The 27,190-nt window shown below is 40.6% G+C and overlaps 1 protein-coding gene and 2 pseudogenes across 17 annotated transcripts in view; 2 read left to right on the top strand and 1 right to left on the bottom strand.

Moving 5' to 3' along the window:
* Positions 1-27,190, top strand: part of ANKRD44 (ankyrin repeat domain 44) — a 343,767-nt gene that overhangs the window by 271,844 nt on the left and 44,733 nt on the right. For 16 of the 17 annotated variants that reach the window (NR_160034.1, XM_047446287.1, XM_005246948.3 and 13 more), the window contains 2 exons: positions 13,670-13,741; positions 25,225-25,426. Coding sequence is in view for 15 of the 17 variants with exons in the window: in XM_047446287.1 (XP_047302243.1) it covers positions 13,670-13,741; positions 25,225-25,426 (274 nt within the window). In the remaining 2 variants the exon portion in view is untranslated. Of the gene's footprint in view, positions 1-13,669; positions 13,742-25,224; positions 25,427-27,190 lie in introns of those variants that run through there. The other variant, XR_923062.3, reaches the window with a different exon arrangement.
* Positions 8,794-9,680, top strand: RPL4P7 (ribosomal protein L4 pseudogene 7; annotated as a pseudogene).
* HNRNPA3P15 (heterogeneous nuclear ribonucleoprotein A3 pseudogene 15) lies at positions 22,904-23,963 on the bottom strand (annotated as a pseudogene).

The following is a 27,190-nucleotide window of genomic DNA, read 5'->3' as shown; positions in this document are numbered from 1 at the left end:
TGGCTTCTGCAGCAATTCTTTGCATTACTTTCAAGTAAGTTAAAACCCTTTTCGCTTCTGCAATCACTTTTGGTTTCTTTCAGCCTTGGATGACTCCTTATGTTTTTAGCAACCACGATGCCTTATCCCTAATAATAGTGGCTTTATTTTGTATGAGTTAATCTTAACACTATTTCTCATCTGGAACACCTACAGCAAGATGAAAGGAATCACACTGTCTTATTATTTCAAAAACACATGATCTGGCATTTTCTGGACTGGTTTAGGTATTCTACAACCAGAAAACATGTTTGGAATTCTTTTACTGGTGTCTCACCTTTTTATAGTATTGGTCCATCAATTAAATATAAAAACTTAATTTTGATGAATCTTCTTTACTTCCTTATGACCCCTGAAATGTAGACAACCCAAGGGTCACCTCATGATAAGTGATTTCATCACCTTGTAGCAGTAAACTGACACTGTGGTTTAGAAAGTCATACTAACCCTAGACCATTTTTCAGTTATAAGACTATGTTCTATGAAAGGTCAGGTTTGTTTATTTGTTTGCTTGTTTTGCTGATTGATTGGTTGGTTGGTGTTTTTGTTATTATAAGACTTTTATTTTTCTAAGCGCAGTTTTAGATTTACAGCAAATTGGATAGAAGAAGGCTCAGAAATTTCCCATATACTCCTTGCTCCCCTCCCGCCCCATGCACAGCCTCCTCCATTATCATCATCCTCCACCAGAGGGTACATTTGTTACAAGTGATGGACCTACAGTGACACATCAAAATCACCCAAAGTCCCAGAGTTTACCTCAAGGTCCACTCTTGGTGTTATACATTCTGTGGGTTTGGAAAAATGTATAATGCCAGGTATTTGTTCATCATCATACTGTCATTCAGAGTGTGTTCACTGCTCTGTCTTCTGTGCTCTGCCTACTCATCCCTCCTCCCAACCTCCAACCCCTGGTTTTTAAAATGTAGCAATGACTATTCTTTCCATTTTTTTTTAAGACAAGGTCTTACCCTGTTGCCCAGGCTGGAGTACAGTGGTGTGATCATGGCCCACTACAGCCTCAACCTCCTGGGCTCAAGCGACCCTCCCACCTCAGCCTCCTGAGTAGCTGGGACTATAGGCACGACCACTATATTTGGCTAATTGTTTTTTGTCATTGTTTGTAGAGACAGGTTCTCACTATGTTGCCAAGGCTGGTCTCAAACTCGTGGGCTCAAGTGATCCTCCCACGTTGGCCTCTCAAAGTGCTGAGATTACAGGCATAAGCCACTGCATCCAGCTTCAGATTGTTTTTATAAAGGGAAAATCTATCCAAAATATAAAATAACCAGCAATGATTTTGGTAATTCTGCAGTGTCAAAGCAAGCAAGCAAATGTGTTATCATCCAATAATTAATTCCACTAATGCTGTCTCATTCACTTACCAGATTTAAATTCAGTTCTATAAACATTTATTGAATGCCTACTACATAGTATGGGTAGTCCCTGCCCCTAAGGAATTTGCAGTTTAATGGCCATGAAGTAATATACTCAACCAACAGTAATACTGGCCAGAATGTGTTATTGTTTTAATAAAGCTATACTAGTCATAAAAACATCAACCCCTTACATTATTATTGGATATGGTGCAGAATATAGCTAAAGGGACCTTGGAAATCATCTGATTCAACCATTTCACTTTTCAATAGAAATTTATCTTATTCTCTAGTAATGTTTATTTGTTGTAGGAAGTTTAGAATATGCAAAAAAGTAGAAACAAGAAATCAAAACACCCGTAGTTTCACTACCTCCGCTCATATGAACGTTTTGGTGTATTTCCTTCAGGTTTCCTTATCCATATATTTTATTTTTTACATCTGTTAAGTAACATTGAAGGTGTAATTCTGTATGCTGATTTTTTTCATAACATATCATGACATAATCCTTTCCCAATGTCATTAAAAACTCTTGATAAACATTTTTAATCACTAAATAATATTCAATTATTAGCTCAACCATAACTTAGCTCTTCTACAATTTAGGTTGTTCATAATGTTTCACTATTAAATGGCTTTGGGCTTAAAACTTTATCAGGATAGAGTCTCTGAAGTAGGTTTACTAGGTCAAAAGTATATGAACATTTTTAGGGCTCTTGCAAGGTAGTTTGAAATACCATGCATTTTGCATGTTGCATTCGGATCTATTTTCACAGTGGATTTCATTAGCCTTTCCTTACACATACTACAGGCTCTTCTGCCTTTTAATTGGCAAGGAAATCATCAGGAACTGAATACACACTGGAGGGTGGAGATAATCAGAGTCATCAAAATCTGCTCCCAAGAAGAAACGGAAACTTAATGTAGCTAAGCTTTCAGTAGCACCCTCCTTAATTTGTGTTATTGCCTTTAAAAGTTGCATAGACCGCCTATAATCCCAGCACTTTGGGAGGCTGAGGTGGATCATTTGAGGTCAGGAGTTCGAGACCAGCCTGGCCAACATGGTAAAATCCCATCTCTACTAAAAATACAAAAATTAGCTGGGCATGATGGTGGGCGCTTGTAATCTCAGCTACTCGGGAGGGTGAGGCAGGAGAATCACTTGAACCTGGGAGGTGGAGGTTGCAGTGAGCTGAGATCATGCCACTGCACTCCAGTCTGGGTGACAGAGTGAGACTCTGTCTCTAAATAAATAAATAAAGTTGCATAGACCTTGACTTACGCAACTATAGAAAGGTAATGTCTCCTTGCTTATGGAATTGGAGTCGGGGGAGACAGAAACTAAATTAGGTTTGATTCATACATACATTCATACAAACTACCGAGTTTCTGGTAATTGTTGTTAATAACAATTTCTGGGAACACAGATTCTTCTAATAGCTGTGAAGGATGTGAGTGGAATCATGAGAAAGAGATGGTCACTGCTGCTACAGATATGCCACCTTGGAATGAGAGTTGATTTGGGGCTGAGCCTGAGGTTCTTTGTGGATATGCAGAAAGACTGGGGGTCCACTGGGGTCCAGCGTGGTTTGGCACATCATATCAGTTCTGAGACCAAAAGGCCTATGGGATCTCCCAACCTCAAACCAGTCCCCTGGGATCCTCTGAAGGGAGGAGATTGACACGGCCTGGGTGGTCTGGAACTTCTGCAGACTCAGCCCCCCGTTCTGGGCTGAGCCGAGGCCAGGTCATAGCTTGACGAGTACTGGCTGCACAGTTGACACAGAAGTGGCCCTGAGGTTGCCTGAATAGCTTTTCATTCTTCAGCATAGACAAGCAGAATGGGAGAGAGACTTTGTGACACAGGCACCAACTTTCCAGGGGCCCTGGCCTGCTTCCACCCCTTCATAGACTTGAAGATCCATAAATGTCCTCTCAGTCTTCACTGCTAAAAGATAAAGAAATCCATTTTTAACCTCTTCTCAGAGAACCTCCTTGATGTGATCCCCAGGGATATTTTCTGATTGGTTTTCTAGCTTCTCCCATCCCTTCTAATTTGTGTAAACCAGTGTGTAGTTTAGAAGCAACATGAAAGAGGCTTACCTCAGACACACCAGCTATACTTTTCTCTTTTGGCAGCCTGAGTCATACTCACTTTCTATTTTCTTAAATTTTAAAACTGGTGTAGATTAGCTTGAGGTCTCTCGGGGCCCCTGGATTTTTCCCTGCCATGTTTTCATGTAGTCTGTCATAATCTATACTATTTATAAAGCTTGGCTTCCCAGCTCAAGTGTTATATTTATGTGTTCCCTCACAAATTTGGATGATAAGATTACTGTTTTGTTAACTCAGCAGCCAGTTGGCTTACCATTGAGCTCCTGTTTGTTCTTGATTTTCTTATCACAGATTCACTTTGTAGAAGAGGCTTAAATTTAACCTTCTATTGCCTTTGCTGCTTTTAAATCCAAAGCATTGAAATGCTGTTCATGTGAGTCCTCCAATCCTGTGGAAATGCCTCCAGATTGAGAAACTGTCCTATGAATTATTGTAATTTCAAATACAATAATATTCTTGGACCAAAAACTCCATTGTGCATCTCAGCCATTCCCCCAAGTGAACCAGAGAGTTCATGACTTACAAATAAGGCAGCTGAAAAGTTGGCTTGCACTGTTGTACTGCCTTCTTTCTCTCCATATTCTCTTCAGGCACCTATCTTCACTTCTCAGTAGGAGTTTGAGGTTGATATTTCAACCTCAAATCTGATTATTTTTCACCCAAACAGAATCCTGGCAAACACATGGTGGTTGGTGGAGGCTATGGAGAAGAAGTGGGGTCAAGCAGTGCTGGACTCTACGTAGAACCTTCGTGAATGATTAATCAGTTGAGAAAAGAAGTAATTTGGGCTTAAAAAATAAGATTAGGTAGTCCGGATGAAGGCCTTATTATTAAGGCAGACATTTTAATAGATTTTTTTTTTTTTAGGCAGAGGACCAAGTCAGTCCTTGGAATGAGTGCAAAGTTTATTGTGCCAATAGAAGTCCATGGTGACATACTAGATATGCACGTTGGATTTATGAATGTAGTTGAGCATGAGAACTAGCATGTGAATGCATGGATTGTGTAAATGTCGGTAACCATGAAGATGTATTAAATGGGAGTATTCTTACAAGAAAGTTATGACTAGTTTTGTTATATTGGGCATAAAATTGTACTCTCTGATGTATAACTACAAGCTCTATGTGCAGAACTCATTGCTTTTTATAATGCTGGTTCTTTGGCCATGTATTCTTAGCTATAACTGTGTTTTAAAAGAGCCATTCTGTTTCTGGATTTTGACAAGATAGGTTGAGGTTGATCTCTGTAGAGCAATGTTGTTTTCCAATAATACAGACCACAAGCTGAATTACGAGTTTGTATAGCAAGGCATAGTATGAGCTCTCTCTCTCTCTCTCTCTCTCTCTCTCTCTCTCTAGCCCTCATATGCCTCCCCTGAGACATTTATGAGACTAGAGTATCTGAGCCATGCTGAATATCTGCATCATCCCTTGGATTCAATGTTTAGGACCAAATCTTAAATTAGAGAGAAAAGTTAATTCAAATTGTAAATGCCAGTTTTAAATGACTTGCAAATTGCTTTTCTCTCCACTTTTTTACATTGTCTTCTTAATTAACAAAGAAGAATCACTAAAGGAAGGGGACTACTTAGAGCAGCTAGATTCCAGTCAACATCTCCAGTGATTGCTGCATAACTAAGATGAGTACTAACCACTCCTTAGAAAACAAAGAAGAAAATCTCAAAGATTAAAGAAAATTGTTAGAGACATAAACAGACCCAAATACTTAAAAAAAAAAAAAGCAACAACAACACATAATTCTCTTTGTTTCCTGCCCCCATCCCTGTGCTGTTTGTGAAATATCAGGGGAAAGTTCAGCTTATCAGTTGATTGGAAGGCATTGCTGTGTAAAGAACATGGGTTTTAGGTTAGATATAGGTTCAATTCCCTAGTCTGTCCTTTACTGGCTGTGTGAATCTGAGCAAGTTACTTAATGGATTACTCAAGGATTTATTGAGATGATTCATGTAAGGCCCCTAGGAGAGTGCTTGACTCGTAGCAAATGCTTACTAACTTTCGGCTTTTATCAGTGAAAATCTTCATCATTATTTATCACCACCACCATCACCTTCATCATCATGGTAATCATTACCATCACCACCACCACCATCATCATCATCACCATTTCACTCTCCTAGTTTTCCTTCAGCCTCTCTGTCTACTCTTTAATCCTCTCTGCAGACTCTTTTCCTCTTCCAAACCCTTAAAATTGAGGTTCCTGAGGTTTATATCTTAGGCCTTTTCCCATCTCCCATTAGACATTCACTCTCAGTGGCCTCATTCACTGTGGGGGCTTCATGCATCAGCTATTGATGATGATTCCCAAATCCATAACTCTATCCCAGATCTCTCTTCTAAAGCCTACCACCTTATATCCAGCCGTCCACTAGACACCTCCCCTTGAATGTCCCAGCAGCATTAAAACTGAGACTCAACGCATCTCTCTCTACTTTGATCTTGCTTCTTCTCTTTGTTTCTTATGAAGAAGGCATCACCATTCACTCCATTACTAAAGCTAGACAATTCAGAGTCATCCTTGACTCTCCTCTTTCCCCACCTCCAATGTTCAGTTAATGATCTGTGTTCATTCCACCTTCTAAACTATAAGCTCTGTGTCTCTAAGCTCTATTTAGGGGCCATATTAGAGTTGTAATCTCAGTGCCTGGCATGGGGATCAATGAATAATTATTGAAATTAATGAATAAAAGAGTGACACTTCCAGCTGGGTGCCATGGCTCACGCCTGTAATCCCAACATTTTGGGATGCCAAGGTGGGTGGATCAGAAGGTCAGGAGATCGAGACTATCCTGGCTAACATGGTGAAACCCCATCTCTACTAAAAATACAAAAAACTAGCCAGGCGTGGTGGCGGGTGCCTGTAGTCCCAGCTACTCAGGAGGCTGAGGCAGGAGAATCACATGAACCCGGGAGGCGGAAGTTGCAGTGAGCTGAGATTGCACCACTGCACTCCAGCCTGGGCAACAGAGCGAGACTTCATCTCAAAAAAAAAAAAAAAAGTGACACTTCCATTTCTATAACCTCTTCTGTAGTTCAGGCCACTATGAGTTCTCACTGACTTATTAATTCACAGTTTAGAAATCCCGCAGTTGAAATATCCTAATATGCCTCCTGCTTCTAGGGTAGCAGTGCCCACCCCCAGCACCATTGTAGTTCATTTTCCACACGGCAGCCAGAGTGGATTTTATAAAACTCAAGAATCTGATCATGATCATGTCTCTTCTGATAATGACCTGGTTTATAACTATTGTCCTGGAACACTCTCAAAAATGTAATAGTATATTGTCTTCTAGTCCCTGTTTGTCATATCTGTGATAGTGGGGGAAATGATTCTGTGTTCCTTTGACTAAAAGTTTATTCTAGGACAGGATTTGGGGTTGGTACACACTGTCAATTCCAGGAAGTCTTGCAGGTGATAATGTTGCAAAACAAAGCAAAGAACAGCTGTTTTCTAGCCTTATCAAGCAGTTAGGGCTACTTTTATTTCAAGTATGTAACAGAGATTGGTTTTGAAGTTATTTGCTTTGAAGTTAAAATTACATTTACTCTCATTTTTCTAACAGATACTAGATTATTTAAGTTCCAGATTCTGTTTTCACACTAATAAGAAACAAACACAAAGTGTCTCATACTACCAATATAATTATAGTATTGTATTATTTGCAAATTTGAAATTACATGCTTTTAGGTGGTAATTTTTACACCATTATTTGATTTACCAAAAAATCCTAACATCATAGCATTTTGTTCCACATGTATTGACTAGAAAGGAGTTCTGAATCTATCTGAGAGTCTGTGGACATTATTAAATTAGATGAAAGGTTATAGCTTTTTTCCAAATAGAAATCGCTTTAGTGTTTTTCTGATTACAAAACAATACATAGCTGGGCATGGTGGTATGCCCCATAGTCTCAGCTACTCAGGAGGGTGAGGCAAGAGGATTGCTTTAGCCCAGAAGTTTGGGGCTCTACTGTGCTATCATTGTACCTGTGCTCTGCACTCCAGCCTAGGTAATGTAGCAAGACCCTGTCTCTTAAGACAAAACACACACACAAACAAAACAATACACATTCACTGGAAATATAAAGAAGAAAATAAAAATCTTCTATAACATCACTTTTAGGTTATTGTGTTAAACTTTGTAAGGTATGTATTTCTATGTCTAGGCTTTTTGTTTTCCTGTATATATAGTCATGTCAATACTGCTTTATAAAAAAAAAAAAAGAAAATAGTGTCATTCAACACTTATGGTTTTAAAATGTGTTTTCCGCTTGACAAGCTTTGGATTTACAGGGAGAAAAAGAGGTAAAGTAGATTTTTAGAAAGTTTTGCTTTCCAGTGTTGTGGGTACTATAATTTCCTCTTCTCCATCCCCATTAGGAAAACATCTATACAAACTTGTATTAATATTATGGGCTAGGTATGGTGGCTCACACTTGTAGTCCTAGCACTTTGGGAGGTTGAGGTAGGAGGACTGCTTGAGCCTAGAGTTTGAGACCAGCCTGGGCAACATAGTGAGACCGCATCTCTACAAAAATAAAAATAATAAGTAAAAAACAACACCACCACCAACAACAAAAGCACTTGTATTGCTCTTTGAATCAGTCAGGCTTCATTTGCAGGATTCAGAAACCACTCTAGCTCTTTTAAGCAAAAAAAAAAAGTTTTATTTTTAAAAATCAGTGTTTACAAGATTATTGGAAGATCTAAAAGAGTGGCCTTTAGGTGGGCCTCCAGAAATAAGCCTGAACTGATGAACTGGACTGTCAGGGGGCTGCCTCTGCCCCATGATCAGGAAGATAAGGAATCAGAAAGCAGCCACTGGAATGACTGATTCCATAGACGCATCACCCTAGCTGATGTTCGGGGACAGTCTTGTCACCCCCACTAATATTGCCTCAAGAGTCACACCACTTTTTGGCTTGATCCACACGGCCAAAAAAATGAATGTCCTGCATCCCTGTGTCTTGCTTCTCTATCCTCACTAAACTCATGGCCTCTACACTGGAAGCTAAAAGACAGTCTTCATGACTGTGCTCACCATTGGAAATCACAGATTTTCTCTGCCTCACTTCCGTCTTCTAAAGGCACTGTTCTCATGACCTGCTAATTCACAGGCAGCATAGGGCTCTTTGTTTTTTTATACAAGTTGGTGTGAACAAAGTTCACAATATCTAGTTGAAAGGCAGGCTTGAACACAGCAGGCAAAATGACGTTTTTGCCAGATAACTCTCCCTTTTTGGAGTCTACTGCAATCAGTGGATGAACACATGCCATGGTAGGATGAGAAGTTTTAGGGTACTGGTTGAGCTGTGGCTCCAATACCCAGAGTCTGAGGTGATGGGACTCATCGTTCTGGCTAGGATGCCTTTGGAAATATGGGTGGTGAAGACTGCTTGTTTGCACCAACAAAAACCTGGTGCCATTGGCACTGTAGAATGAACACAACCCAAAAATGATATGCCACTTGCTCTGCCCCAGCTGCCTCAGCCTTACCAATGCTGGTCATGTCTAAAGGTCATTGTATTGAGGAAGTTCCTGAACTTCCTTCGGTGGTTGAAGGTAAAGTTGAAGGCTACAAGAAGACCCAGGAGGCTGTTTTGCTGCATAAGAAACTTAAAACCTGGAGTGATATCAAAAAGATCTATGCCTCTCAGCAAATAAGAACTGGCAAGGACAAAATGAGAAACCATCATCGTATCTGACACAGGATACCCTGCATTGCCTGTAATGAGGATAATGGTACCATGAAGGCCTTCAGAAACATCCCTGGAGTGACTCTGCATTTAATGTAAGAAAACTGAACAGTTTGAAACTTGCTCTTGGTGGGCATGTGGGATGTTTCTGCATTGGACTGAAAGTGCTTTCTGGAAGTTAGATGAATTATATGGCACTAGGCATAAAGCTGCTTCCCTCTAGAAAATCTTCCCATGCATAAGATAAGCAACACAGACCTTAGCAAAATCTTGAAAAGCCTAGAGCTCCAAAGAGCCCTTCAAGCAGCAGGCAAGCAGATTCATTGCAGAGTCCCAAAGAAGCCATGAAAAATCTGAAACTCATGTTGAAGCTAAACCCATATGCAAACACCATGTGTCAGGACACCATTCTTTGCCAGGCCAAGAATCACAAGCTCAAACTGTCAGAAGGACAGAAAACCAAATGCCGCATGTTCCCACTCATAGGTGGGAATTGAACAATGAGAACACTTGGACATGGGAAGGGGAACATCACACACCAGGGCCTGTTGTGGGGTGGGGGGAAGGGGTAGGGATAGCATTAGGAGATATACCTAATGTAAATGACGAGTTAATGGGTGCAGCACACCAACATGGCACATGTATACATATGTAAGAAACCTGCACGTTGTGCACATGTACCCTAGAACTTAAAGTATGATAATAATAATAATAAAAATATCCTAAAAAAAAAAAGAAAAATAATCACAAACTCTGGGGGATAAGGTAGCAGCAGCAGCACTAGCACTAGAGACTAAATCACATGAGAAGGGGTTGTAGGAAGACGCCTGTGGTAGGAAAGAGAGGAAAAAAATGACAGTTGGTGTTAAGAAGCAGAGGAAACCTCTGGTGGGAAAAAAGGCAGCACTACCGAGAAAACAGCAGCTTAAAAGAAACCAGCAGAAAAGAAAGCTACCACAGAGGAAAATAATCCTGCTGCATAAGCTTTTAAATGAGTTTATTCCATAAAGATCAAATCATTTTGGACACCTTATTTTTAATAAAGACCTTATCAAAGAGGCAGTGAAGAAAAAGAAAAGTTCATGCGTCTAACTGGAAGAGCTGAAATCACCTCTGGAGCTGTAGCTCAAGGGAGTCTAGGAAATGTGGTGTTTAGTTGTCCAGCCTCTGTAATGTAGGGCAGCCCAAGCCCACCAATCAGGAAGCTGGAGTTGGATGTTGACGACCATCATAGCACATATCGAGGCTTTGGATACAGGATTTGCATTCCTTTTGGATGTGTCACTATACAAAGAAAAGCTTCAAGAGCCAGGCGTGGTGACTTGTGCCTGTAGTCCCAGCTACTCTGGAGGCTGAGGTGGGAGGATCACTTGAGCCCAGGAGTTCAAGGCTGCAGTGAGCTATGTTCACACCACCACACTTCAGTCAGGGTGGCAGAGTGAGACCCTGTCTCTATTTTAAAAAATAAAAATAAAGAGCTTCAAAGTAAGATAAAGGGGAACAATTTATCTGAAAGTGTAATATATACCACTATATTTAACCTATACTATTGCTAGTTATTATTTTTTCTATTTTTTCACATAAACAATGTCTTAATAAATGGCTTTTATCAGAGTCACTAATAGCTTCCTCCATTTTGCTAAACACAGTGGTCAGTTCTCAGGCCTCATGTTGCTAAACTCAGTGATCAATTCTCAGACCTGGCTGGGCACGGTGGCTCATGCCTGTGTAATCTCAGCGGTTTGGGAGGCCAAGCTGGCAGTATTGCTTGAGCCCAAGAGTTTGAGACCAGCCTGGGAAACGTAGTGAGATCCTGTCTCTACCAAAAAAATTTTTTTTAAAAGTTAGCCAGGCATGGTGGCACGTGCCTGTAGTCCCAGTTACTTGGGAAGAGTGGGAGAATCCGTTAAGCCTGGGAGGTTGAGGCTGCTGTAGGCTGAAATCACATCACTGCACTCCAGCCTGGGTGACAGAGTGAGACCCTGTCTCTTAAAAAAAAAAAAAAAAAAAAAATTCTCAGGCATTATTTTCCTTGATCTGTCATGACACTTGACATGACTGCTCATTCTCTTCATAAAACTCCTTCTTCACTTGGTTCCAGAACCTCATGTTCTCCTTGTTTTCCTTCTAGCTCACCTGCTCAGTCTGAGTCTTCCTGCTGGTTCCTCCTCATCTCTCCAGCTTTTAGTGGTGGGTGCCCCAGGCATCAGTCCTGGGACCCCGTCTCTTCTTTGTGTACTCTGTTCATCTCATCCAATCTTATGGCTTTAAATACCCTGAGCTCCAAAACCATGTATCCAGCAACTTCCTGGATAATATGTCTTTTTTTCTTGAGACAGAGTCTGGCTCTGTTGCCCAGGCTGGAATGCAGTGGTACAATCTCAGCTCACGGCCACCTCCACCTCCCGGGCTAAAGCCGTCCTCCCACCTCAGCCTCCTAAGTATCTGGGACTACAGGTGTGCACCACCACACTTGGTTAATTTTTGTATTTTTTGGTAAAGATGGGGTTTCGCCATCTTGCCCAGCCTGGTCTTGAACTCCTGAGCTCAAGTGATCTTCCCACTTCGGTCTCCCAAAGTGCTGGGATTACAGACATGAGCCACCGCACCTGGCCCAGATGTACTTTTAGATGCTTTATAAACATCTCAAATTTCACATGTCCAAAACTGAACTTCTGCTTGTTTCCACTATATATATCCCACTCACAGCCTTCTTCATCTCAGGTCATGGTACCTTCATGTTTCCGTTTGCTTAGGACAAAAACTGGGCGTCATCCTTGGCCTCTCTCTTTCTCTTACATTCATATTCAGCCCATCAGCATATCCTGTTGATTTTACCTCCAAAAATATCCACAATCCAACTGTTTCTCTCATCTCCACTGCTTCTTGCTGGTCCAAGCCACTGTTATTTTTCTCTTGGACTATTGCCCCAGCTCCTAAATTGTCTCTGTGCTCCCACCTTTGTCTCCTTAGAGCCTAACAGATCATGTAACTCCTCTGCTCAAAACACTCCACTGAATTTCCACCTCACTTGGGATAAAAGTCAAAATTCTGACAACAGCCTACACGGCTTTCTTTGACATGCCCACCCCCACAGCCACCATCTCTCTGATTTCTGTCCTGCCATTCTCACCCTCGCTCACTTGGCTCCAGCCTCCTGATGTTATTAAGCACACCTGTCTGTAAGGGTCTTGGCAGCTGTTGGCCCCTCTGCTTAGAATGCTCTTCTCCAAGATATTCACAAGGCTCCCTCATCTCCCTGGAGACTTTACTGGGCCATCACCTGCTCAGTGAGGCTTTCCCTAATCACCCTACATAAAGTTACAAACTAATCTCCCCTCGAGTTCTTTGAACCTTCCTTCTCTACCATAGCACCTTGCACTTTCTAATAAACTATGAAACTTCTTTCTTTTATAGTAGGTCCACCTCTGCAATAGGAAAACAGATTTTTGATACTTGGTCTATTATGGAATTATCAGTGCAGGGAACAGTGTCAGGGCACATGGTAATCATTCACTGAGTATTTATTGTATGAATGCATTTCCTTACAATATGCACTATTGTGCACTCATCTATTTATTAGGATTGAATCCCTAGATTCAAAAGATATGCACAAATTGCCCAGAAAGGTGTTTTTTTTTTTTTTGTTTCTTTTTATCTCCCCCTTCTCTGAGTCTACTTGCTAGGGAACCAGAAAGGTTTTAACAATTTGTTCTTCCACCAAGGGTCTACGAGAATGTCATTTTCCTGCCACCCTCACTAACACGATGCCCTAGTCACATTGGTCTTTCCATTCCTTGATCTTACCATGTTTGTCCTCTCTTGATGCATATCATTGACTATTTCCTCTTCCTGAATACTCTCCTGCCACACCTTTATCTGGTTTAATTCTTCTTATTTAGGATTCACTTGAAATGTCACTTCCTTGGAGAAGGCCTTGCCTGGCCATCTGCTGTAAAGCAGCCTGTCAGTCACTCCATATCACATCCCCGTATTTTATTCTCATTACAGCACAGATCATTTCCAAATGTTTTCTTATTTTTATATTTATTTATCTATGCTTCGTTTTTCCAAAATGTAAGCTTCATGAGAGCAGGAGTCTTGTCTTTTTCAACACTATCCACACTATCTGCAGTAAATGTGTGTTTGATAGTAGAATCAATACTGGGTCTTATTTTTTTCGTTATTATCTGTTTGCCAGGTGAAAATGGATGTAAGATGAATTATTTTTCTGGATTCAAGTGCTGAGGTGATCTAGAAGTTTAAATATTCTGTTAGCATATTTGTTTTAGATATGTTATATCATATTTTTATATTACTGATAAATTGCATAACTTCTCAAGTTTCTGAAACCTCTTTTCTCATTTACACCAACATTTTGCAAAATTTGGACTCACGTACTATTGTTTGCTTTTTGTCTCCACAGCTTTTGGAAAGAACAAACAGTGGATTTGAAGAATCAGATTCTGGTGCTACTAAGAGTCCACTCCACTTAGCTGTAAGTGAGATGCCATGAGCAGCTTCACCTGTTACAAAAACAACCTAAGCATTCCTAAAACTAGATTGCTCTTAAAATGTAAATGTAGTAACACAGTGATGAGTGGTAGTGAAAGTAGTCCGTGGTAAAAGGCACAGGCTGTGGAGACAGACTGCCTCGCCTTCATTCCCAGCTTCATCTGCTGGTGATCTTAGACACATGACTTACCCTGTCTTGAGCCTCAGTTTCCCCATCTGCGAAATGAGGGCAAATGAAAAGAGATAATGCACCCAAAGCCCTTAACCTTTATTCTTGTAGAGTTTAACCGTCTTTAAAATTCAAAGGATACATTTCAGTTTAAGAGATTTGATTAGCGATAACAATATACAAGTGGAAAACCTATGGCTAATTGAATACCACAGTTAAAAACTGGCAGGATGTTTCAGCACAAACTGATGAGAGCAAGATGAGCACATGCAGAGCTGCAGCTGCGACCTTCTGCCTGGACTTGAAATCAGGGTCTTCAACGAAGTCTGAGGCTCTGATTCTTGTACTGGGTGAGATCTGGGAGGTGAGGGAAGAAGAGTTATTTTATCACCAGTAACGCTTCCTCTCCACATCCCAGTAATTGAAGGCAAATGCAACAGCTCAGAGTGATGATCCCCAAACTCTTCATGGGAGTGACCAAGGTGGGAAGTGCACCCACCACTCTGTCTCAGATTGTGAGTTGCTAAGAGTTGGCCATCAGCAGCTGCTCCCTAGGAACCCTGCTGACTGGCAGCCACACCCAGCAACAGCCAGCTCACCTTCCCGAGGCACTCACGTGCCCTTGGTGCTGCTGAATTGTGAGCACTTGGTTCAAGGCCACAAAGATGGTGTTTGGATGCTTCTTTGCTTAGTAAAACCCAGGGGCAGGACACCAGGAAGAATGGGAAGGGGCTGGGTTTCTTTGTTTAACTGTGTTTATGACTTTTCACTTAATACTATGTGTACATAAGCACTCCTTCAGTGTCATTCTGATGAAAAATTGACCTGGAAATTTTGGAGAGAAGAGAGGAGTGTTTTATTAATTGACATGCAGAGGTGTTCAGGCAAGAGAGCGGAGACAAGGCCATCACACAAGGATTGGGAGTATCCAGAACTGACCATATGTGTGGAGCTTTCCTTTCACTGCCTGTCTCCCCACATACTCACAGCACACCTGCTGACACCCACTCACACGTCCTCTGACACCCACCAACACACCCACTACACGCTCATACACACATGCATTTTGAGTCCAGTGAAATCAGGGTAAAGTGTGCATCAGTCTGTGTTCCCGGAGATGGACTTACTGTGGAAAATGTGGATGAATAGTGGGATATTTATACATATAAATCTTCATGCCAGTTGGCCCTTAGTACAGGTTGCTTGCTAGAATCCCTGCCCAACCATCTGCTGTGCCTGGGGAAGTTACCCCAAAGCTGAGCACTCACAAACATAGCACTAACTGCCCCTAGAGAGTCTTATGTGGAGGGTTATCTCAGATACAATTCTCAGGCCCCAAGAAAGTGGGTTTGACTGCATTGCCAAGCCTGCTACTAATCTGAGAAGAGTTTCTTGGCTTCCAAAGACTTGATCATCTCTCGTTCTTCTTTTTTTTTTCCACAGTGTATTTGTTGAATGCTTATTGTGTACTCTGCTAAACTCTATGGGTTGCTGGCTGCGTAAAGATAGGGTGGTGATATCATTTAAAAGAGGTGGGCTTTGGTAGTTCTGCAGCTGACAGAGACCCAGGAAAGGTACATCAAGTGGAGGTCCTAGCTGCCATTCTTTTCATTAGCAACTCACCTGTGCATGGTTTCCCCACCTGTAAGTTAAAGGGAATCTGTTAGTTAAGCATCTCAAAGACCCTTTCCAACTTGTTAATTTATTGAATTGTTTATTGTGTGATATTAACCCAAATACCTCACCTCTTATGTCTCAGTGTCCCTACCCATGATATGAGAATAGCAGTACCTCAACGTAGGGCCATTGTGGAGATGGCATGAGTTAATGGATGTAACACAATTAGAACAGTGCCTGGCACACATATGTGCCATGAGCTAGCTTCATCGTCATCATTACTAACATCATATAACATCATTATTAACATCATCCTTTCATCCAACATACACTGACTGTGAATAGTGCCAAGCACTGTTTGAGTAGCTGGAGATATTGCAGTGAACAAAACCCCACCTCTGCCCTTGCAGAGTATCCAGTCTAGGGGAGACAAACAGGCGAGGAAATATCTCAAATGACAGATGGCAATAAGTGCTGCAGGTGCTACAGAGAAAATGAAATGGGATCAGGGAGATAGAAAGTATTGAGATGGCAGACAGGGTGCTTATTTATTTATTTAAGAGGTGGGGTCTCACTGTGTTGCCCAGGCTGGTCTCAAACTCCCGGGCTCAAGTGATCCTCCTGTCTTAACCTCCTGAGTAGCTGTAATTGCAGGCATGAGCTGCTGCACCTGGCCAGGGTGCTATTTTACGTAGCATAGAATCTCATATTTGTACAGAGACCTTAAGAGCTATGCATGTTGACATCTGATGAAGGAGTGTTTTGGGCAGAAGTGCAAAGTCCCTGGGGGAACTCATGAACTGTCCACAGAACAGGAAAGGGGCCACTGTGGCTGGAGCAGAGTGGTGAGGAGAGTAGCTGGGGGCAATGCCTCACATGTTGTGGAGGGAGCCAGGAGTTTGGGGGGCCACCACAGATCTCATGGGGACTTTTACTCTGAACAAAATAGGAAACTATTAGGAGGGTCTTGAGGAAACAGATTGATATGATGTGACTTTTGTTTTAAAAGGATCACTTTAGTTTCTATGTTGAGTCAAAATTGCAAGGGAACGAAAGCAGAAGCAAAGCAAACCAGGCAAGAGATGATGACCATGACTTTGACCAGGGTGATTACGGTGGATTCCTTCTAAAGTCATTTTATTCTTTCTCTCTAAATACAAATTATTTGCTTTAAGGACCCAAAAGGTATGCCCATCACCCTCTCTAGGGGCCTCAGTAGCAATTAACTTGATAAAACCCAAGGCACATAATTTCTTAGGTGGAAGCCATCTAGCAGTGTAATGGAACCAGATGCCCCCAAACCTTGACTGCTACAAGAAACCTGACCTGCCTTGAGTTACTATTTCCTGGCTGAATGATTCAAATCTCCAGGGTTATTGGCCCAGTGAATTTCATAAGCATTTCATCCTCTTGAAAAGATTAAATTAAGAAACAATGTTATGCAAATGAAAGGCTCTAGCTGTCAAGATTTCCAGACAGATCCATTGTTCTCATGGATTCTGTTGAGATCCCAATTCTTTCCCCTCATTGTCCTTAGTTCCTATCTTAAAAGGTCTGGAGAAATTAATCACGTTTAAGAGATAATTGTTTATAAAAAGTTGTCTTTCGTAGTTGCTAGACATAGTGTTTTATACGGCAGTTAGAGAAATTTTTCTCATTGTGCAGCTCACATATTCTGTAAACTTACTTAACATTTGGTTTGGTTGTTTGGTCAGTTCCTGAGAGAAATTAGTTTAAAAATCAAAAAACCCCATCTAAAAGTGGGCAAAGGATATGAACAGACACTTTTCAAAAGAAGACATTTATGTACCCAATAGACACATGAAAAATGCTCATCATCCCTGGTCATCAGAGAAATGCAAATCAAAACCGCAATGAGATACCATCTCACACCAGTTAGAATGGCGATCATTAAAAAGTCAGGAAACAGCAGGTGCTGGAGAGGATGTGGAGAAATAGGAACGCTTTTACACTGCTGGTGGGAGTGTAAACTAGTTCAACCATTGTGGAAGGCACTGTGGCAATTCCTCAAGGATCTAGAACTAGAAATACCATTTGACCCAGCCATCCCATTACTGGGATTGTAAATCCCAAAGGATTATAAATCATGCTACTAGAAAGACACATGCACATGTATGTTTATTGTGGCACTATTTACAATAGCAAAGACTTGGAACCAACCCAAATGTCCATCAATGATAGGCTGGATTAAGCAAATGTGGCACATATACACCGTGGACTACTATGCAGCCATAAAAAAGGATGAGTTCATGTCCTTTGTAGTGACATGGATGAAGATGAAAACCATCATTCTGAGCAAACTATCACAAGGACAGAAAACCAAACACTGCATGTTCTCACTCATAGGTGAAAACTGAACAATGAAAACACTTGGACACAGGGCAGGGAACATCACACACTGGGCCTGTCGTGGGATGGGGGGAGGGAGGAGGGATAACATTGAGAGAAATACCTAATGTAAATGAAGAGTTAATGGGTGCAGCACACCAACATGGCACATATTTACATATGTAACAAACCTGCACATTGTGCACATGTACCCTAGAACTTAAAGTATAATAATAATAAAAAACTCCATATATAATTATAAAAAAAAAGAAATAATTGTTACCTAATAAGGCTTTTTAAAGGTGTTGCTTAAAACAATTTAAAATGTTTAATACTTCTAGTGAAGGCTTTACTTTATGCATAGTAAAATTCAGGAGCTACAAACTAGATAAAGAAACAAAGCGAATTTTATAGATTATGCTTGTCCAACCCCTGGCTGAAGGGTTGCATGTGCCCAGGATGGCTTTGATTGTGGCCCAACATAAATTTGTAAACTTTCTTAAAACATGATGAGATTCCTTTTGCAATTTTTTTTATTTAAGCTCATCGGCTATCATTAGTGTTAGTGTATTTTATGTGTTGCCCAAAACAATTCTTCCAACGTGGCCCAGGGAAGCCAAAAGATTGGACACCCCTGCTATAGATAAATCTGGCCTCTCAACCATTCTGTCTTTAAGAGGGTTTTCAAGTGCCTGGTATAGAAGAAAGTATGGGTTGAAATTTTAAAGCTTTCCTAATTGCCAGCATGGTTCACTCCATTTGATTTTAGTATTAGGTCTCTTTAACTTAAGCAAGTTAAGTCCAAGTTTAAGCGACAGACTAAGCCTGGAGTCAAGTGTCATAGCCTGATGTACACACTGATGTAGGCACTCCTTTTATCTCAAGTTTTACATGAAGTGCTCCTGAGTTGGCTTAAAATCACTTGTGTGGCCGGATGTGGTGGCTCACGCCTGTAATCTCAGCACTTTGGGAGGGCAAGGCAGGTGGATCACTTGAGTCCAGGAGTTTGAGACCAGCCTGGCCAACATGGTGAAACCCCATCTCTACTAAAAATACAAAATAAAAATAAAAATACAAAAATTAGCTGGGCATGGTGGCGTGCACCTGTAATCTCATCTACTGGGGAGGCTGAGGCAGGAGAATTACTTGAACCCGGGAGGTGGAGGCTGCAGTGAGCCAAGATGGCACCACTGCACTCCAGCCTGGGCGACGGAATGAGACTCCAGCTCAAAAAAAAAAAAGAAAGAAAAAAAAAGAAATCGCCTATTCCCTGAGCTGTTCATGACTCAAACTGCGTGAAAGGTATACGGCAATTCATTATACCATCCTCTATTATTTGTTTATGTTTGGAATTTCCTATAATAAAAGGTTACGGGAACATATAACTTATGGTCATGTTGCGCCCTTTCCATATTCACTAGTGAAAAGCCTCACAGCTTGGGCTCTGGGAGTCAGCCTGGTCCACCTTTGAAACCCAGCTCCTCCACATTAGGCTGTGTAACCATGGGAGAGCTGGTTATCATCTCTGCCCTTCTGTGTCATCCTGGGCAAAATGGGAATAACAGGAGCAGAGCATAGGTTGTTGTGAGAATTCAGTGAGGCAATGCATGCCCAATACTGCCTGACATACAGCAAGTGCTCCATAAAAGTTAGCTATTGCTTCAGAGTTTAGGTTAGAATAGAGACTTACTATCCTGTGCAGCTATGGTTTGCATAACAAGCACAGATCAGAAAGTTAGACATATCTATTAGCAATTTATTTTAGAAATGCATTCTCCTGTCTCAAGCCAGGCATTGTGTGTAGTAGAAGAGCAAGAGTCTAAAGGTTAGTCCCAGAAGTGTACCTTCTCGCTTCATAGCTCCGCTCAAGCCACTGCATTTCTGTGTTGAGTCTTCTATAGAAAGGGTTTAGGTTTCTGATTCAATATTTGTTATTCAATTCTGTCACCATTATTTTGTCTCTATTCCACATAGAGACAAGAGAATTTTGTCTGGAAGTCAACTAAATGGAATTACTGGGGAAAATTGTAAGATGGCACCTAAAAGCGTGAGATTTAGTAGTGACAGATTCTGGGTTCAGAATCCTGATTTTGTCACTTACTAACTAAGTGATCTTGGACAAGTTAATTAACATTGCTTGTTTTGGTTTTTTCATCTATAAGAAAAGATGTTTGGGATTTATGCTAAAATGTTTGAAATAGTGCCCAGCACATAAAAAACCCTCAAAAAATAATTGCTGTTTAAAAAACATATTTCTACCAAAAATAGTAATAAATATAGTAGTCATTATATTCATTCATTTATTCATCAAGTAAGTATTGAGTGTCTACTGTGTGCCAGGCATGATTCTAGAATACAGCAGGAACAACCCACATTAAGTCCCTTCAATCACAAACAATAAGCAAATCAATAGATACATAACAGATATCCATTGATATCAGTTTTGTGCTATGAAGCAGAAGAAAGCAGGATTAGTGGGGTGGAGAGTATCTGGGAGTATGTGTGAGGTGGAGGGCAGAGCCTATTTTATATGTTACATGGGCTGCTCTGGGAAGCCCCCCTGATAAGGTGATATTTGAGCAGAATTACTGGGAGAGCTTTCCAGACAGAGGGAGCAGAAAGTACAGATGCAGTGGCCCAGAGGGGGACATGCAGCTATTTAACTATAGAGGGAGGCTGGTGCAGCTGGAACAGAGTGAGTGAGGGGACATGCTGAAACTGAGGGTAGAGGAAGGCCAGATTCTGGGGGCCTGATTGGTCATGGAAAGTTTTGGATATTGGTATCAGTGAGGGAAGACGTCATAGGCTAGTTTTAAGCAAGGAATGATGTGACCCAACTCGAGTTTAAAAGATTTCACCCAATGGTTGCATTAATAACAGATTGCAGTGGGACAAGGATAGGAAGGGAAGCTTTTGCTGTAATCCTGGCAAAACAGGTTGGTGATGCGGTGAGAAGAAGACAGATTCTGGACGTATTTTAAAGAAAGAATAGAAATGATGAGCCCTGAAAGTGGCATTGATACAGCACTTTGTGAGAATTAGGCCAGATTCCTGCCAGATACCTGAGACCCTAATGACATCTCCATGTGAGTTAGCAAATGTGTCCCTTGCTTTCAGCAGACACTTCCCTGTACTAGGGCAGCAAGGAGGGGAAGGGCTATTTTTCAACACCCACTGGCTCTATTATCCAGAGCCCTTCCTTGTTCAGGGCAATAGCCCTGGGTTTAACAGGAGGGAAGACAAAGACAACTGTAAGGTTTGGGGCCTGAACAACTAGAAGAATAAAGTTGCCATTTACTGAGATGGTAAAGGCTGCAGATGGAGCAAGTTTTGGGAGGGAGATTTCAGTTTGAGATGCCTATTACACATTCAAGTGGGAACATCAATAGGCAGCTGGACATACAAGTTGAGAAGTCAAGGGAGAAGTGGGACTGGGATATACTTTTGGGATTCATCAGCATGAGTTGTTATACTACCTATTATAAATGATATATAGGTTTAATATGTAACATAATCAAAATCATTCACAAACATAATGTAATGAGAAAAAAATATTTAATGTATCTGTACTCTTAATTCCTCTGTCTCCTTTTCAATGTAGTTTTTGTTATTGTCATTGTTAACACACACTCAGGAAGAAACATTCAAACCATATTTTAAAAGATAAGGTAAAATAAGTCCATGCATTTATTACTCTACTTCCTAGTTCTAGAGTAAGTACCATTGATAGCTTCTTTTGTATCTTTCTACAAATCTTCTATGAATATAGAAGCCTATATATATGAGATATATTTGCTTTGTATATAAATGAGATCATGCTTTAAGTACTGTTTGCAACTTCTTTTCTCTTTTTAAAAAGTTTGATAGATTTTGTTAAACCACCCTCGACAAATGTCACACCAATCTATACTCTCACCAACAGAGTGTATGATTGCTTTTTTCAGTGTCTTATCTAATACTGGGCATGACCAAACTTTAATCATTGCCAATCTGGTAGGTGAAAAATCATACTTTAAAATTTTACTTATTTCTTCACATATTCTCATATTTATTGACCTTTTTTATTTCTTTTTCTGTGAGTTGCCTTTTCATGCCTTTTGCGTATTTTCCTAGTTTTTAAAATGGTTTCCAAGAGTTCTTTATATATTAAGGAAATTAGTCTTTTGTCTGTGCTGAGCCTTTTTTCAAACAAATTGTATCTTGAGTAATAGCTGCAGTAAAAAAATAAAAAGTGCGAGTGACATAAGAGGAGACTTGGTTGCTGAAGACACTGGAATCAGGCTTTTCTTTTCTTTTTTTTGTGAATTCTGAGTTTTTGTTTTTCATTTGAAGGTAATCTTAATGCTATTAAATTCACAAATATGCTAATTTCCAGTCCTATTTATCTAAAACACACATTGCAAACATACAGATATCCATTCTCTCCACTTGTCAGTGCCCATTCAGATCATGGTTTGGAAATGGGGAGAATAGATTCCCTTTAAACTGTAAGTCAGCAGTTGTTTCTTTACAGTTAACTTTAATAAAATTCATACAAAATAGTAATTAATAGTGATCTTCTTTATTGTTAACTCACAAGGAAACACCTTCAAAACTGCATTTTGTTAGTTTCTGTATTAAAATGTAGAAAAATGGAATTACACAAATATTGAAAGTTAAAAATGCCTTAATTTTTTAATCCTCATACCACTACCCCAATTTACAAGACAATATACCTGACGTAATGAAAAGAAAAAGAAAAAGATAAAGCTACGACAGATAAAATACCTCAGGAATGTACATCTAAATGGCATTACATTGCATTAATTAATAGCTGGACGTTTTGCAAACGGTGGCTGTGACAGTCCTGCACAAGAAGGATTTCCTGCTTAAGCTGCGGTAACTTTTCTGACTATGGATGATCATTCCTGTGGCAGATTTTTACCATTCCTCTAATGCATTTGGGACAATTGTCTCAAAGTAACCTGCAGCTCTCCTGACAACTCATCGCTCTCTCCTGCTAAGAACTCTAGCCCTTTTCTGCTGTTTTTAGAAACTTCTGCTACCATATCCACCACTTCCACCACCAGACCCAACCACCACCATAGGGACTGTCTGAGCTTCTTCCACCAAAACTACCCCCTTTCATGGATCCAAAATTTGATTGCTGTCGCCCACTATAATTTCCAGAATCATTATTGTTCCCACCACCACCACAGGTACCACCACCAAAGTTTCCTCCTTCATTGTAACCACCATATCCCCCACCACCATATCTACCCCCTTGGTTTCTATATCCTGGTCCACCACCACCATAGCCCCCTCTACCACTAGAACCAGGACCACCATCATAGGTGCCACCATCACCTCCAAATCCATTACACCCACCATCACCTCCTCCATAACTACCTCTGCTGCCACCACCTTCACCACCATAGCCTCTTCTTCCACCAAAGTTTCTACCACAGCCAAAATTACTTCCTCCATCTCCAAAGTTTCCTCTACCACCCATAAAATTGCCAGATCCACCTCCACGACCTCTCTGCAATCCAGCAGACTGCATCTCTTGTATAGAATGGGTCTCTTTCACTTCCAAGTTATGCCTATTAATATTGTGGTGTTTCTGAATGACAGTTTTATCAACTGTAGCATGATCATCAAAAGTTACAAAAGCAAATCCTCTCTTTTTTTCCAATCTGCCTGTCTTCCATAACTTCTGTGGTTGTAATCTTGCCATACCTTTTAAAATGGTCTCTCAAATTCTATTCCTCTATATCTTCTTTAATACCACCAACAAATATTTTCTTCGCTGTTAGATGGGCAGCAGGCTTTGCAGAATCTTCCCTAGAAACAGCTCTCTGGTTCCTCTACATGCTCATCAATGCTATGTGGTCAAGCATCTACCTCTTCAACACAAGAGTAGGTCACAAAACCAAAGCCCCTGGAACATTTTGTTCGGGGGTCTTTTATTACCACACAACCTGTGAATGTGCCCCATTTCTCAAAATGTTCTCTTAAAGTATCATCTGTAGTTTCAGAGTCAGGCCACCAATAAACAATTTTCTCAACTGCTCTTGACCATGTCCCCCATACCCATTTCACCCCATATAACCTGAGCTCCCTTCTCTTATTTTCAGTGTCCTTTGCCTGTGTGTGGAGAGGTGGGGTGGGGGGCAGCTAATACATTTTTTAACTTATAGACTCAATAAAAATTATCTTTCAGACTTTTAGTTTTGTTTTTTGATGGTACAAAGCATCATTTTTTGTTGTTTTTTTTTTTGGAGACAGAGTCTTGCTCTGTCACTCAAGCTGGAGTGCAGAGTCGTGATAATAGCTCACTGCAACCTCCGCCTTGGGTTCAAGCAATTCTCCTGCCTCAGCCTCCCGAGTAGCTGGGATTACAGGCACCGCCACCATGCCTGCTAATTTTTGTATTTTTAGTAGGGACGAGGTTTCACTATTTTGGCCAGACTGGTCTCGAATGCCTGACCTCAAGTGATCCACCCGTCTCGGCCTCCCAAAGTGCTGGGATTATAGGTGTGAGCCACCGTGTCTGACAAGCCTCTTAATCTTAACATAGCTTAGGACCTCATAAAAGGTCTGAACTTAGTGCTGCTACATGGAGTGTATTTCCATAATTGTTTCTATAATGAAATGTTTTTCATTGTAATCAGGGGAAGAAATAAAGGAGAAAAGAGGCACTAGCTACATGCAAGATATTTTGCAAAGCCTATGCAATTTCATCTTCACAGCAACCCTAGGAGGCAGCTTTGATTGCTCTCATCTTATACATGAAGAAACAAACTCTAAGTGAAATTAAGAAACTCACCTAAGGTCACACAGTTAGAAATTAGTATAGAATTGGCCTATAACAGAACATCTACATGCCTCTGTTGTATCTCAAAGTCCACAATGTTTTTAGTAATTTTTCCCCCAGGTTTGTTATCAGAAAAGACTCCTGGAAAAAAATTCTGATTATGCCAATATGTTTAGGACTGAACTGACAGATAAAAGAATATGGTAATTCATTCAGCTGTTAGTTTATATTAGATGATTAGATCAGTAGATATAAATATAAGAATACATTAATACATTCAGTGTCTTTGGAGCAAATTATGTGACAAAAGAGAAAGAACACGAAACTCATATGGAACTGTGAGGTTTGTGCATTGTAGTGTTTCAGTCTAACTCTCCAGCTTGCCTGAGTTTTAATAAATATTCCAAGTGTTTTTCTGACGTGCTCTTGGGAGTGGTCTCTATCCATGGCCCAGGAAGCCCAGCCCCTCCTGTGGACTGTGGCGGGATTTGAGGTGAGCGAGCAAGCATGGGAGCCATTGGTTTCTTCTTTGCAGGCCTACAATGGGCACCATCAAGCCTTGGAAGTCCTTCTGCAGTCGTTGGTGGACCTGGACATCAGGGATGAGAAAGGCCGCACTGCTCTGGATCTGGCTGCCTTTAAAGGACACACAGAATGTGTGGAAGCGCTTATCAATCAGGGCGCATCCATCTTTGTGAAAGACAATGTAACCAAAAGAACCCCACTTCATGCCTCAGGTAGGTCTTGTCAAGGGCCTGATTACCCTAGTTTTGTGGCTTGTTCGTAAGTTTTAATAGAAGGAAAGCAGCATCTTCTTTCATCCCAGTTTTTTAAATATCAATTTTCTTTCCACATCAGATGCACTTCCACACTTCCAAAATGCTTTTGGCCTGCTATCCTCTTGGAGGTGATTGGTGTTCTCTGGCCAGGTGCTCTGGCCTTGTTAACTCAAAAGAGAGTTCAGAACTTTTGGCTAAAAGCTACCACAAAACATTCTGAACAAAGGGCAAGGTGTAATGCAATCTTCAGAACAAGTTACATAGAACAAAATACATCAAAATCAAACAGTATTTGAAAGCATAAAACCAATAGCAGGTTTTATGGCTATTTCATATTCATATTAATGTATTCAGGGCTATTTCGCATAAGGAATCATAAGGCAGCAATCAGTACATCATTCTGCCAGCCTAAATGATGTTTCTTAGCTTTTTTACACATCGATGTAAAAATCAAGACGCTTTAAAAGTACATGTATATATCAAAAAGAAAGTCATTTGCCTTTTCTGGGATTTTTCTTCCATGCCCATGAAAACCTGTGTCAAGACACTTCTAGATATATACACAGACATAAGGGTAATATGGAAGAGTCTCTAGCTCAGCTAAGGCATAGATATCTTTGGCTCAGGAAATCCAGTGATATCAGCCTTTGATTAGGGTAGTAGATAACATTTTGTAACGATAAATAACTGTCTTACTTGGTGAAATGGGTGTATTGAGGAAGCAAATAAGTGAAGATACTTTTTCAAAAGACTTTATGATTCTTGTTACTTGGGAAAATTTTCCCAGAATGATAGACCTTGTAAAAAACTATTTCCATCTATGTCCCTGAATTTCCAAGCCACTGAAGAAAAACAATACAGAGGTTGAAAAAACCTAATTGTTGCCTACTTACTTGGAAATGATTGTTGCTGGAAAAAAAAAAAACGTTAGCCATAAGGTTAGTAATAGTTGGTGTGGTTGAATTATAAATTCTCATTTCTCATCACATTTAGTCTTTTTTCTCCCCAGCCATTCTTGTTATTATTATAAAATTCAAATTTTGTCCTCCTTTTTAAAAGATTAGTTGCTATTTTTAAGAGAAGCATCCTATTTTTGTTATTATATAATTCCTGACAATTACAAAGGGCCTACTTTGATTGTGGAAAATCGCCCTTATAAACAGGTAAACAATGAAGAACAATCATTTTCACTCATTTGCCAGTGTGATATGGGTTGTGGTCCAGTGAAGCCCCCTAGTGGTCAAGAAGACTCAGTCAGCTTGGATTTTCCTCCTGTCATTCACTAAAAAGACACTGTCACTGGACTGTTCACAAAATGTCTACTGTGCAGAAGCTTTAGCGTGTGCTTTGAGGATCTGCTTACCCAAAATCTTTTTCAACTTTTTTGAGAGGCCAATATTTTGAGTTTCAAATCCTCAGAGCACTATGAGGAGCAAGAGCCAGGACGAGTATGAGAGGTTTTGGCACAGATAGTTGGAGTGACAGTTTGTAGTCTTTGAGTCGTGTGAAAAATGGTTGTCACTCATAGGAAGAGGCTGAGCTGGTCTGAGACAAAGCTGAACTTGGCAGCAGAGCTAAAGATGTTAGCATCTTTTTGCTAGAAGGCAATTTGGGGAAAAAGAAATGTAGTGTGTAGGAAGCCAAAGAGAATTTAAGTTTGGCTACCAACTTCAGGGGAACTTAGATTTACCTGAGGGGCTGGGCGCAGTGGTTCATGCCTGT

This window comes from Homo sapiens, chromosome 2 (assembly GCF_000001405.40).
Source record: "Homo sapiens chromosome 2, GRCh38.p14 Primary Assembly".
Taxonomy (NCBI): domain Eukaryota; kingdom Metazoa; phylum Chordata; class Mammalia; order Primates; family Hominidae; genus Homo; species Homo sapiens.
The sequence above is the reverse complement of the archived record's forward strand: the minus strand, read 5'-3'. Positions and strand labels throughout refer to the sequence as shown.